At 35.8% G+C, this 15,630-nt stretch overlaps 1 protein-coding gene across 5 annotated transcripts in view; it reads right to left on the bottom strand.

The window, feature by feature from the left end:
• PRR16 (proline rich 16) overlaps positions 1-15,630 on the bottom strand; it is a 330,317-nt gene that overhangs the window by 302,411 nt on the left and 12,276 nt on the right. Inside the window, exon 2 of one of the 5 annotated variants that reach the window (NM_016644.3) lies at positions 10,891-11,015. The exons of the other annotated variants lie outside the window; for them this stretch is intronic. Within the exon in view, the coding sequence (NP_057728.1) occupies positions 10,891-10,980 (90 nt within the window). The 5' untranslated portion in view covers positions 10,981-11,015. The remainder of the gene's footprint in view (positions 1-10,890; positions 11,016-15,630) is intronic. 5 annotated transcript variants of the gene reach the window in all.

Genomic DNA, 15,630 nt, shown 5'->3' with positions numbered 1-15,630 from the left:
GAGCCTAGGAGGCTGAGGCTGCGGTGGATCCTTATTCTACTGCACTCCAGCCTAGGTGACAGAACAAGGTGCTGTCTCAAAAAAAAAAAAAAGAAAACAAACAAATAAAAAACAGTAAAGGTGAACAAAGAGATTGAACACTATAATGTACAAACCCTATTTACATTTTGTAATAATATTTATATTGGTAATTGTGTCATTCTAAATGCATTGATTCAACCAAACACTCCTCATGAATTTTGTTATCAAAGTTGTATGATTTGGGAAGTGACATAATTTCCTTAAAATAGGAGATAGTTTTAAAAAATGAAATCAATAAAACGAAGAAAAAGTGTATGTCAGCTGGGCACAGTGGATCACGCCTGTAATCTCAGCACTTTGGGAGGCCAAGGCGGGCAGACTGCCTGAGGTCAGCAGTTCAAGACCACCCTGGCTAACATGGTGAAACCCTGTCTCTAATAAAAATACAAAAATTAGATGGGTGTGGTGGCGGGTGGCTGTAATCCCAGCTACTCAGGAGTATGAGGCAGGAGAATCGCTTGAACCTGAGAGGCAGAGGTTGCAGTGAGCCAAGATTACACCACTGCACTCCAGCTTGGGCCACAGGGCAAGACTCCATCATGTAAGGAAGAGAAAAAGAGAGAAAGAGAGAAAAAGAGAGACAGAAAGACAGAGAGAAAAGAAGGAAGGAAGGAAGGAAGAAAGGAAAGGAAAGGAAAGGAAAGGAAAGGAAAGGAAAGGAAAGGAAAGGAAAGGAAAGGAAAGGGTATATGCCTTTAGATCTTGTACCTAAGTTAATATAGAATGTACAAGAAGGGAAAATGATTAAGAAATATTATAAATAGTATTTATAATGCACTTTCAATATCAGGCTTACAGATTTCCCAGAAAATTAATCTCAAGGCCGAGTTATTTTCCATTCTTTTCCAGTGACTTCTCATGCTATATTCAGTGTAACACCAGGGAAACATTAAAAACTAAATCTAGAAATGTCCCTGTCTGACAGATTTGAAGAGAGTAGTGGTTCTCCCAGAACATAGCTGGAGATCTGAGAACGGACAGACTGCCTCCTCAAGTGCGTCCCTGACCCCGAGTAGCCTAACTGGGAGGCACCCCCCAGTAGGGGCAGACTGATACCTCACACGGCCGGGTACTCCTCTGAGACAAAACTTCCAGAGGAATGATCAGGCAGCAACATTTGCTGTTCACCAATATCCGCTGTTGTGCAGCCTCCGCTGCTGATATCCAGGCAAACAGGGTCTGGAGTGGACCTCCAGCAAACTCCAACAGACCTGCAGCTGAGGGTCCTGACTGTTAGAAGGAAAACTAACAAACAGAAAGGACATCCACACCAAAACCCCATCTGTATGTTACCATCATCTAAGACCAAAGGTAGGTAAAAGCACAAAGATGGGGAAAAAAACAGAGCAGAAAAACTGAAAATTCTAAAAATCAGAGTGCCTCTCCTCCTCCAAAGGAACGCAGTTCCTCACCAGCAACGGAACAAAGCTGCACAGAGAATGACTTTGACAGGTTGAGAGAAGAAGGCTTCAGACAATCAAACTACTCCGAGCTAAAGGAGGAAGTTCAAACCCATGACAAAGAAGTTAAATACCTTGAAAAAAGATTAGACGAATGGCTAACTAGAATAACCAATGCAGAGAAGTCCTTAAAGGACCTGATGGAGCTGAAAACCACGGCACGAGAACCACGTGACGAATACACAAGCCTCAGTAGCTGATTCGATCAACTGGAAGAAAGGGTATCAGCGATGGAAGACGAAAAGAATGAAATGAAGCGAGAAGAGAACTTTAGAGAAAAAAGAATAAAAAGAAACGAACAAAGCCTCCAAGAAATATGGGACTATCTGAAACGACCAAATCTACATCCGATTGCGGTACATGAAAGTGACGGGGAGAATGGAACCAAGATGGAAAACACTCTGCAGGATATTATCCAGGAGAACTTCCCCAATCTAGCAAGGCAGGCCAACGTTCAGATTCAGGCAATACAGAGAACGCCACAAAGATACTCCTCGAGAACAGCAACTCCAAGACACATAATTGTCAGACTCACCAAAGTTGAAATGAAGGAAAAAAGGTTAAGGGCAGCCAGAGAGAAAGGTCGGGTTACCCACAAAGGGAAGCCCATCAGACTAACAGCTGATCTCTCGGCAGAAACTCTACAAGCCAGAAGAGAGTGGGGGCCAATATTCAACATTCTTAAAGAAAAGAATTTTCAACCCAGAATTTCATATCCAGCCAAACTAAGTTTCATAAATGAAGGAGAAATAAAATACTTTACAGACAAGCAAATGCTGAGAGATTTTGTCACCACCAGGCCTGCCCTAAAAGAGCTCCTGAAGAAGCACTAAACATGGAAAGGAACAACCGGTACCAGCCACTGCAAAAACATGCCAAATTGTAAAGACCATCGAGGCTAGGAAGAAACTGCATCAACTAACGAGCAAACTAACCAGCTAACATCATAATGACAGGATCAAATCCACACATAACAATATTAACCTTAAATGTAAATGGGCTAAATGCTGCAATTAAAAGACACAGAATGGCAAACTGGATAAAGAGTCAAGACCCATCAGTGTGCTGTATTCAGGAAACCCATCTCACGTGCAGAGACACACATAGGCTCAAAATAAAGGGATGGAGGAAGGTCTACCAAGCAAATGGAAAACAAAAAAAGGCAGGGGCTGCAATCCTAGTCTCTGATAAAACAGACTTTAAACCAACAAAGATCAAAAGAGACAAAGAAGGCCATTACATAATGGTAAAGGGATCAATTCAACAAGAAGAGCTAACTATCCTAAATATATATGCACCCAATACAGGAGCACCCAGATTCGTAAGGCAAGTCCTTAGAGACCTACAAAGAGACTTAGACTCCCACACAATAATAATGGGAGACTTTAACACCCCACTGTCAACATTAGACAGATCAACAAGACAGAAAGTTAACAAGGATATCCAGGAAATAAACTCAGCTCTGCACCAAGTGGACCTAATAGACATCTACAGACCTCTCCACCCCAAATCAACAGAATATACATTCTTTTCAGCACCACACCACACGTATTCCAAAATTGACCACATACTTGGAAGTAAAGCTCTCCTCAGCAAATGTAAAAGAACAGAAATTAGAACAAACTGTCTCTCAGACCACAGTGCAATCAAACTAGAACTCAGGATTAAGAAACTCACTTCAAAACCACTCAACTACATCAAAACTGAACAACCTGCTCCTGAATGACTACTGGGTACATAATGAAATGAAGGCAGAAATAAAGATGTTCTTTGAAACCAACGAGAACAAAGACACAACACACCAGAATCTCTGGGAGACACATTCAAAGCAGTGTGTAGAGGGAAATTTATAGCACTAAATGCACACAAGAGAAAGCAGGAAAGATCTAAAAATGACACCCTAACATCACAATTAAAAGAACTAGAGAAGCAAGAGCAAACACATTCAAAAGCTAGCAGAAGGCAAGAAATAACTAAAATCAGAGCAGAACTGAAGGAAATAGAGACACAAAAAACCCTTCAAAAAATCAATGAATCCAGGAGCTGGTTTTTTGAAACGATCAACAAAATTGATAGACCGCTAGCAAGGCTAATAAAGAAGAAAAGAGAGAAGAATCAAATAGACACAATAAAAAATGATAAATGGGATATCACCACCAATCGCACAGAAATACAAACTACCGTCAGAGAATACTATAAACACCTCTACACAAATAAACTAGAAAATCTAGAGGAAATAGATAAATTCCTCGACACATACACCCTCCCAAGACTAAGCCAGGAAGAAGTTGAATCTCTGAAGAGACCAATAGCAAGCTCTGAAATTGAGATAATAATTAATAGCTTACCAACCAAAAAAAGTCTAAGACCAGATGGATTCACAGCCGAATTCTACCAGAGGTACAAGGAGGAGCTGGTACCATTCCTTCTGAAACTATTCCAATCAACAGAAAAAGAGGGAAACCTCCCTAACTCATTTTATGAGGCCAGCATCATCCTGATACCAAAGCCGGGCAGAGACATAACAAAAAAAGAGAATTTTAGACCAATATCCCTGATAAACATCGATGCAAAAATCCTCAATAAAATACTGGCAAACCAAATACAGTAGCACATGAAAAAGCTTATCCACCATGATCAAGTGGGCTTCATCCCTGGGATGCAAGGCTGGTTCAACATACACAAATCAATAAACGTAATCCAGCATATAAACAGAAACAAAGACAAAAACCGCATGATTATATCAATAGATGCAGAAAAGGCCTTTGACAAAATTCAACAACGCTTCATGCTAACAACTCTCAATAAATTCGGTACTGTTGGGACGTATCTCAAAATAATAAGAGCTATCTATGACAAACCCACAGCCAATATCATACTAAATGGGCAAAAACTGGAAGCATTCCCTTTGAAAACTGGCACAAGACAGGGATGCCCTCTCTCACCACTCCTATTCAACATAGTGTTGGAAGTTCTGACCAGTGCAATGAGGCAGGAGAAGGAAATAGAGGGTATTCAATTAGGAAAAGAGGAAGTCAAATTGTCCCTGTTTGCAGATGACATGATTGTATATCTAGAAAACCCCATCGTCTCAGCCCAAAATCTCCTTAAGCTGATAAGCAACTTCAGCAAAGTCTCAGGATAGAAAATCAATGTGCAAAAATCACAAGCATTCTTATACACCAATAACAGACAAACAGAGAGCCAAACCATGAGTGAACGCCCATTCACAATTGCTTCAAAGAGAATAAAATACCTAGGAATCCAACTTACAAGGGATGTGAAGGACCTCTTCAAGGAGAACTACAAACCACTGCTCAATGAAATAAAACAGGATGCAAACAAATGGAAGAACATTCCATGCTCATGGGTAGGAAGAATCAATATCGTCAAAATGGCCATACTGCCCAAGGTAATTTATAGATTCAATGCCATCCCTATCAAGCTACCAGTGACTTTCTTCACAGAATTGGAAAAAACTACTTTAAAGTTCATATGGAACGAGAAAAGAGCACGCATTGCCAAGTCAATCCTAAGCCAAAAGAACAAAGCTAGAGGCATCACGCTACCTGACTTCAAACTATACTACAAGGCTACAGTAACCAAAACAGCATGGTACTGGTACCAAAACAGAGATATAGACCAATGGAACAGAACAGAGCCCTCAGAAATAATGCCACATATCTACAACTATCTGATCTTTGACAAACCTGACAAAAACAGGAAATGGGGAAAGGATTCCCTATTTAATAAATGGTGCTGGGAAAACTGGCTAGCCATATGTAGAAAGCTGAAACTGGATCCCTTCCTTACACCTTACACAAAAATTAATTCGAGATGGATTAAAGACTTACATGTTAGACCTAAAACCATAAAAACCCTAGAAGAAAACCTAGGCAATACCATTCAGGACAGAGACATGGGCAAGGACTTCATGTCTAAAACACCAAAAGCAATGGCAACAAAAGACAAAAATGGCAAATGGGATCTAATTAAACTAAAGAGCTTCTGCACAGCAAAAGAAACTACCATCAGAGTGAACAGGCAACCTACAGAATGGGAGAACATTTTTGCAATCTACTCATCTGACAAAGGGCTAATATCCAGCATCTACAATGAACTCAAACAAATTTACAGGAAAAAAACAACCCCATCAAAAAGTGGGCGAAGGACATGAACAGACACTTCTCAAAAGAAGACATTTATGCAGCCAACAGACCCATGAAAAAATGCTCATCATCACTGGCCATCAGAGAAATGCAAATCAAAACCACAGTGAGATACCATCTGACACCAGTTAGAATGGCAATCATTAAAAAGTCAGGAAACAACAGGTGCTGGAGAGGATGTGGAGAAACAGGAACGCTTTTACACTGCTGTTGGAACTGTAAACTAGTTCAACCACTGTGGAAGTCAGTGTGGCGATTCTTCAGGGATCTAGAACTAGAACTACCATTTGACCCAGCAATCCCTTTACTGGGTATATACCCAAAGGATTATAAATCATGCTGCTATAAAGACACATGCACATGTATGTTTATTGTGGCATTATTCACAATAGCAAAGACTTGGAACCAACCCAAATGTCCAACAATGATAGACTGGATTAAGAAAATGTGGCACATATACACCATGGAATACTATGCAGCCATAAGAAATGATGAGTTCATGTCCTTTGTAGGGACATGGATGAAGCTGGAAACCATCATTCTCAGCAAACTATCACAAGGACAAAAAACCAAATGTCGCATGTTCTCACTCATAGGTGGGAATTGAACAATGAGAACACATGGACACAGGAAGGGGAACATCACACTCTGGGGACTGTTGTGGGGTCGGGGGAGGCAGGAGGGATAGCACTGGGAGATATATCTAATGTTAGATGACGGGTTGATGGGTGCAGCACACCAGCATGGCACAGGTATACATATGTAACTAACCTGCACGTTGTGCACATGTACCCTAAAACTTAAAGTATAATAATAAAAAAAAAATAACTAAATCTAGGCATAATTTACACCAACATCTGCAAGTCCCACTAGTAACTCATTATGAACAGTTCACTGTGTTTTACTCTATTCTGTGCACAATACGTCATTGCTTCCATTTAAGAGAACTTCAGCAAATACATTGCAAGAACAAACAGCATATGTTGTAAACATGTAGATAATCACGTCAATGTCTGCTTAATGTTGGCATTTGCCATTAACCAAAATGCGTCTAAGAAACGTGCGGAAAAGTATACCTAATTACTTATATGGTCTTTTTATAATATTTCATTAATAAAATGTCTGAAACAGGATGATCAATATTTATCCTAATAATTTTTCTGGAATCATGCAAAACATTTTAAAGAAAAGCATTTCACAATTATTTACAAAAGCTCAATTATTATATAAAACATAGGGAAATACTTTTAAATCCACTCTTCTAAATGGACTAAGACATAAAATATAAATGTTTAGCAAGTTAATTAATATTTCATTATAATTGTAAATTAGGAGTGCTTAACTGCTCATTTAAAATGCGAACAAAATTGTGTATGTGAAATAATTACACTAAAATCAGATAATCAGCTACACTATTTAAATCAGAGTAAAGATTACTTTCCAAAAGTTCAGGAAAGAAAAACCTTATCTATTCCTTCTCCCATGGAATCATATGTATTTTTATTGACAAAAATATATACAATGTTTTAAATCGCAGAATTATATTTAAATGATATAAGAAATTAAATTACATTAAAATATATGTATGTATACTCTTTAAAACAGCTCCTTACAAGAATAGACACCAACTTCCTAATTATTCCATCATCTTACTAGGAAAGAAAATAAGAAAAAAATATATATGACACATTTTATTTTACAAATTCAAGACCACATTATGACATTGTGTTGCAATTTAACATTGATGGAAAAAATGATATACTCTGAAAATCCCATGTTTCTGAAGGTTCCAGTTTTTAGGAATAAAATATATATATAAAAATGTGTATATATATTATATATAAGTGTATATACAATATATGTATAATATATTATATATTATATACTATATATAAATGAATATATTTCATATATACAATATATAATTATATATGACATATTGTACATACATTTATATATACAATATATAATTATATATTATATATCATATCTAATTATATAAACATATATTAGATATAAAATATATCTAACATATAAGGTATATATTATATATAAGAATTGGTATATATTCTTATATATTATAAATGATATATATAATATTCATGTATTATATATTTTATATGTAATACAAAGTATATACATTTATATATAAGATAAATTATATATTATATATTATACATAAGACATATATTTATTTTCTTTTTTAACTTTCAGTACTAGAGTCGGTAATCATTTCGAATGTTTTATACATTTGCCTCACATTTTAAAAGTGAGTATGCTAATGGTAATTAAACTTTGTTCAGATAACTTGAGTAGTTAAGAAATAGGAATATTTTCTTCTATTAAACAATATTGTTAGTTATACGCTTGCTTTTTTAAAAATGTCATCCTGGGTTTTTCCTGTGTTGAGCTATATGCTGTTTCATACCTCTGACAGTATGCAAATTTTTAGAAGGAAAGAAGACTTGTAACCCCTTCTAATTTGGTATCTACAATCTACTATAGGCTGAAAATTAAGATTGTTAATGTTCTGTGCCAATTAAGGCCAAGTTGGAACTGAATGAAATAAAGTAAGTTTGTTTGAGTGCATGATCTTCATGCAAATTTGTTAAGAATCACTTACACCAACTGTAGGTATTTCTTTGCCCACTTAATTCCAGGTTCTTGGCCAGATTTGTTATCTGAGATATTCAGAAATTTATATTCATGATAAACTAAACAATATTTTATTTTTTAATTTAAAATTTTACTGACAAGCACAATAAAAGATGATATATTTGTGAATTTACTATAGGCTAAAGACTGCATTAAAAATTAGTTTCTTCTGTTTATGACACATTCTGACATTTATTCAATCAACATGATCAAGAACAGTGTTTCCTAAAACTGCTTCATAGAATGCTAGCTCTGACATATGGTCTCCGAAAATCAGAATCTTTAGCCCAATAAATTTGAGAAATAATGTCAAATGTATTGAGTTTAGCAAATCTTCTGTGAGAAGCTGTGTTTGTATGTATGTATGTATGTTGAACCTATCTGATAAAATAAATATTCCATAAACCTTACTTTGAAAAGGAAGAATCCAAAAATAGTAAAGTTCTGGCCAAGACAATACAGGGCTCACCAAGTCCAAACTGATTTTTTTTCATCATAGATTTATAAGAAGGCTTTATTTCTCTTGCATTTCACTTGGGGATACAGTTCTGTATGCACAGGTAATCTGTGTCATTTACAAACTAAAACACATAGGTGTGGGTATGAATTCTTGCATTCTTTTTTCCCTGGAAACCATGTGTTGAAATAGGGTATCACAAGAGGCTGGATTCCTGAGTGACTCTTTGGAGTAGAGCTCCTCGCCAACTTGCACTGGAGAATATACCATGTTAGACAAATGAACGTTTGTTGATTTAAACCACTGAAATGTCACGGTTGATTTATTACTGCAGCATTCCCTAACCTACCTAACCTACCATAACCAATAATATAGTTGAATTCTAAAATAATGAAAGTGACACAAAGGGAGCTAACTTAAAACTAAAATTACAGTTGTTCAGACACTGAAAACTCCTTATTCATCCTATGCCATCTAAATATACTTGCCAAGAAAAAATTTAAAATGTTATGTTCGCAGATCGTCATTACATATACTTTGCTATGTTGCTACATGATCAGCACTATGGTAAGCTAACAGGGTAAAATAACATAAAAGGCATACAAGGTTCTTACTCTGATGGAGCTATAAATTAGTTCAGTCACTGTGGAAAGCAGTTCGACATTTCTCAAAGAACTTAAAATAAAAATACCATTAAACCCAGCAATCCCATTGCCAGGTATATATCCAAAAGAAAATAAATCATTCTACCAAAAAAACACACATACTCATATGTTCATCGCATCACTATTCATAATAGCAAAGACATAGAATCAATCTAGGTGCCCATCAATGGTGGAATGGATAAAGAAAATATGGTACATATACACCATGGAATACTATACAGTCATAACAAAGAATGAAATCATGTTCTTTGCAGCAACATGGATGCAGCCGGAGGCCATAATCTTTAGCAAATTAACACAGGAACAGAAAATCAAATACTGTATGTTCTGGCTTATAAGCAGGAGCTAAACACTGGGCACTCAAGAACATGAAGACAGCAGTGATAAACACTGGGGACTAATGGGGGGAGAGAAGAAGCGGGAAAAGTGTTGAAAAACTATTGGGTACTATGCTCACTACCTAAGTGAAGGGATCAACTGTACTCCAAACCTCAGCATCACACAATATACCCATGTTAAAAACCTGCACATGTACCCCCTGAATGTAAAATAAAAGCTGAAATTATTTTTTTAAAAAAGAAACAAAATATCCAGTGGGCAATAAGCTCATTTTTTAAAAAGGTGACAAATTTTTCATTCTTTGTATAACATACTAAATTGGATAATAATTTAGCATGGGAGTAATTTCTGCTCCCATGCTAAATTTCATTTAAAGACACATTAAAATTATGGCACTCATAACAACAATAAAAAAGAACCATTAGTCAATTTTCTGTTAGAGTGACAGATTGTGACCAAATCAAATTAGATACTTCTTGGTTCTCTCGTGTAATGGAGACCTATTTGAATATAACCATTAAACAATTTCAAAATTTGTTTTGAAACAAAATTATTCTAGGCAAATTGAAACAAATTTCACAAAAATGCTACAATTTAAAATTTTATCACTAACCAAATTCTGTTTTTACGACACAGTACATGAAACACCATTTTTGTTAGAAAACTTCTCTTAAATGTGCAGAAACATCTTATTTTTAAATTATATTTCTAGCCATGTTAATCTAACATATTCCACTGTATTGATTAATGTAATCTGCTTTCTACAATTAAAAGGAACGTTATTAAAATAATACAGTATTATTTTTCAAAAAACAGAAGCTCTTCCAAAGACTTCCATAATTTTATAATGCATACAATACATGTATGCTAAATTCCTTTCCTATACTAATCATGGAAACAACATCGGCAATGATATATTTTAAAACGGGCCAGGCGTGGTGGCTCACGCCTGTAACACCAGCACTTTGGGAGGCTAAGGCAGACAGATCACCTGAGCTCAAGAGTTCAAGACCAGACTGGGCAACACAGTGAAACCCCGTCTCTGCTAAAAATACAAAACTTACCCAGGCGTAGTGGCGCACTGAGGCAGGCTGAGGCAGGAGAATAGCTTGAACCTGGGAGGCAGAGGTTGCAGTGAGCCCAGATTGTGCCATTGCACTCTAGCCTGGGCAACAGAGTGGGACTTCATCTCCAAAAAAAAAATAAAATAAGATATATTTTAAAACATTGGTAAAGTAGCTGTGTTTAATTTGAAAATTCACAAATATCAAAGGGAATTAGATGGGCCAAAGTATTGCCTGCCATGTACTTTATATTGAAAAATACTTCAAGTCAATGCTAATTTGATTAGTGTGGTTTAAAGGAAAACTTCTGAAGACATGAAGTGAATCGGACCTCATCTATTTACTGTTAGCACAGAGTGAAAAAAAAGAATATTTAATATTATAATTGCATAGGAAATCAAAGTTTCTTAATAAAAAATACTTAACTGGTTTACTTTCCTCACAATTTAAGACAATCATCATCTTGTTTCAGCTCAGTAAATAATGGTCTATCTGTAGGTTCACTAAATATTTTAACAATAGTATCTTGTTTATACAAAACAAGACTTAAATATATTCTTCATTCCCTGTTTTTCCTTGCTCTCTGCAACTCTGTTCAGTTGCCAGTGTTTTTTCATTAACTCTCTTTCTTCATCAGTTTGCAGACACATTATCAGAAGCCAAAAATAACATAATATGGTTAGAAACATTTCAAATCTAAGCAACAGCTAATCTGTATAGTACAGGAGTTAACTCCATTAGATAGTACTACATTGTCAGTATACTAAGTATGACTTCACTTTTTCTGTGGGAGCACAAAAAGAAAAACATTATGAGCAAAAATTGTCTTGGATGGTTTCTTGGTAACTATCCCCCTCCCTGCAAAAAAGAAAATTGTATAAATATTATTGGCTAACGCAGTACTCACGCAAAGTAAATCTTAGGTTACCTGAGCTACAGAACTAAGAGGTTATTGGTGAGTATTGGAATTCATTGGACAGTATGAGTATTAGTAACTTCAGGAAGCAGATGTTAAACTCTTGAACATTTTGGTGCATACTCTATGATTAATGAAACAATCACAAACACTGGGCTCACTGCAACCTCTGCCTCCCAGGTTCAAGCAATTCTCCTGTCTCAGCCTCCTGAGTAGCTGGGATTACAGGCTCGTACTGCTGTGCCATATTATTCTGTATTTTAACAAATGTTAGTTTCCCCAAGGGCATACAATGCAGCCTGTTATGAATAAGGTTTCAGTATCGAATATAAATCTCCCGAAAAAATGTTACAGGGTGTATGTCTAGTTTTGAATTTTATTTTAAAATGAATTAATCATTATAGCATAAAGTACTTCCACAAGTGAATACAGCTTACAAAACAATGTCTCATAAAGTTATTGAAAGTAATTTATTCTATTTTTTTTTACTTCATCTAATGATGACTAACTGAACTAGTAGGTATCACAGTTACTTAAGAACTAGTAGGTATCAAAGTTACTTAAAAACTATGGGGCATCAAACAAATTTGAATACTATTAGATGTCAATTTAGAATAACTTAATTCAAACACTAGTCCCTGATTTTAAAAAAAACAGTAAACGGCAATAAGTTACTTTTACAATGTAAAGTTATCTTCTTCTTTACAAGTGCTAGCAACTATTAATATTCTATATTAAATGCCAATAGTATATATTTTTTCTTTGACTCATTTTTTAATTCCAGGGATTTCTTGGTGATTTGTTAAAGCAGTTTGAAATCAATATATTTAAATAACATTTTAATATATTAAAGCAAAATGATCTCATTAGCTTATTTAATTTCTATGTTCAAAATAATCCAGTAGTGGTTATTCCGGTATATAATATTTCTTACTTTGCATAAATATAGCATGCTGGAAGGTTTATGTTCATATTCAAACTGCACAACTAAAACCTGGACTTCAGTTATAAAAACTGAGGGAGAGTTTGCAACATAGCATGGTCTTTAAAGACAGAGGTCCAACAGTCTCCCTGATTGAAGTGGACAGATTGAAAACGCATATGAAAAGGCCTCGCATGACTCAATCCCCACAAGCAATGAAAGAGAGCATGTGTTCTTAGACAATATACTGAAAGTTCAGTAACTTGATAGGATAATCTCCAAACAATATTAGGTTAGGAAAGCCCCATTTCTACCTTAACGACTGTAGTACTTTAGTATCTGAATAGGCTGATTATAAGTACCCATATTTTTGAACACTAGAGGAAGTATATAAAAGAGAAGAAAAAGAAGCCAGAGTGATATTACCTAATTTCTCGGTGTTTTAAATTGCATTAGGTCTTACCAATCTGCTTGCTTGTTTCTAAAGCACATAAGTAGAGTGCTTAAAACTTACTTAAACTATATCCAATATCCATTTTTAAATGTCATTTTCCAGTTAATTTAAAATTTGTAATGGCTAAAGGCAAGAAAAATGCATGATATTCCAGAAGCAGAAAAACAGAGAAGGTTGTAAAAAGTAGACATGCTTTCTCCCCATTTTAGTTTATATATTCTATTAGAAGAAAATAGAATTACATCTGATTTAGAATATATAATTCTAAGTGCTTCAAAGAGTTTAAAATTACATTCCTAGGCAAAAAGGAAAAATGGGCACTCCTAAATCAGAGTCAGACTTTTGCCTAAAGATGAAATCCTGAGATTACAGGCCACGTTTAGGGTTTACATAGACAAAATGTCTCCAAAATTTCTACATAGGAGGGACAATGTGGGAGCCACTGGTTGGGAGGTGAGAGGTGTCAGGACTTCATGAGTTAATATTTTTTAAAAACTCAGAACTATGACACACAATAAGCATTCAGGATACTAGCTATTGCTGAGAGATCCTTTGTCTATTCCAAAAAACAAGAACATGGGTTGAGTTGAATGGGAATGAGATGAGTTTAATGAAACTAGTAGATTATGGAATCAAAGTAGGAGAAACAAGAGCTCCCGCCAGCCAATCCAAAAACCACCACCATATATATTAGGCAAGAAGATAAATAATTCATATGAAATCTTTAATAAGTATCTATTTCTTGTTCCTTCTCTGCAAATATTGGATTGCAGTAGAAACTAAAAGGTAATAGCTTTGATCCTTGAGAACTTTGGAAGGATGAGTTTAGAGCTGAAAGAGATCCAGTAATTTATTAATTCATTTAATGAGCATCTACTACATGCCAGCCACTGCTCTAGAAACTTGAAATATAAAAAGAGAACAAAAACAGGTCACTGACCTTCAGAAGCTGGAGGCAGGAAATAATAATAAATATGAGAAATAAATTGTTCGGTATATAAATAACTGATGATTATTAAGAAAAAAGGAAAGAAGAACAGGAAATGCTGCAGCATTCAGCAACATGTGGAGTTGCCTGAACAGGCTGTGGTGTTCTGCCACTGGAGCAAAGTTTGAGTGAGGTAAGCGTTTGCTCAGGTGGGGATATAGGCGTGAAAATGTACATAGCGCCTTTGTTCCTGTAACAGCCGACTACTGTGACTGAGCCTGAAGTAAGGAGAGCCACAGAGAAAGTAGTAAATTGGGGAGGACATTAGAACCATAACAAGGAAGGGAGGACAACTGTGAAAGGCCTCAAAGCTACAGTAAGTGCTCTGACTTTGAGTAAAATGAGAAACTGCTACAGGGATCTGAAAAGAGTAATGTGGTCTAACTTCACACTTACTGATAATGCTGAGAAAGGTTTAAGAGAGCAAAGGAGAATAGTCAGGAGGCTATTGTAGCAATCAAAGTGAGAAATAAAGTGTGGCTTGGACCAGGATGGTAACAGTGAAAGAGGTAAAAATTGGTCAGACTTTGGAAACATTTTGAAGATGGGGCTAACTAGGCTTTCTAGTGAATTGAACATAACGCATGAGAGAAAGAGGAATTAATAAAGACTCCCAGGTCTAAAAGGATGGAGATGCCGTTAACTGACAAGGGAGGGGAAGAACTGCATGGGATTAGGTTTTTGTGGGAGGGGGGAGATCCGGGTTCAGTTTGCTATATGGTAAAATTAAGATGTCTCTTAGCCAAGTAGAGATAGGGAGTAGACTGTTGGCTACACAAGCTCAGAAAAAAGGTTTGGGTTGGAGATACAAATTTGGGAGTCGTGGACATATAAATGGAATTTATCCACAAGGCTGAATAAAACACCAAGAAGAGTACCTTTTTTTAAAGAATAAAAATTTCAGTTTAGACATCCTAGAGGAGGAATAAGTGAAGGTAACAAAAAGAAAAATCAGTGAAGTGAAATGGTAATTCTTCAAGCTAAGTGAAGAAAGATTATTAAAGAGACTGTCAACTGCTGCTAGATTAGGCCTGAAGGTTGACTATTGGATTAAATAACATGGAGTCACTGACAACCGTGATAGAGGCAGTTTTGGTATGGTAGTGAGAGTACAGATATGACTGGATTTAGGAAAGAACAGGGAAAAATAGGTGACAGCAAATACAGAGAACTCTTCCAAGTTTTTTTTTATTTTTTATTTTTATTTTTGTAAAGAAGAACTGAGAAATCAGATAGTAATTTTTAGGGGAAGAGGGCTTAAGAAAGGGTTTTAACACTTATTTCATTTGTATGCTGGCAGGAATCATTTAGGGGAGAGAGAAAACAATGATGGTATATGAGAGGTAGGGGAGGATTGTTCATGATGTTCTTGAGTAAATGGGAAATAACAGGCTCTCACACACAAGTAGAACGATTGGCTTTTGGTCCCTAATAAGTATTACATGCAATTGAATTTTCAA

This window comes from Homo sapiens, chromosome 5, assembly GCF_000001405.40.
Source record: "Homo sapiens chromosome 5, GRCh38.p14 Primary Assembly".
Taxonomy (NCBI): Eukaryota; Metazoa; Chordata; class Mammalia; order Primates; family Hominidae; genus Homo; species Homo sapiens.
Note: the sequence above shows the minus strand (reverse complement) of the source record. Positions and strands in the feature narration are given on the sequence as shown.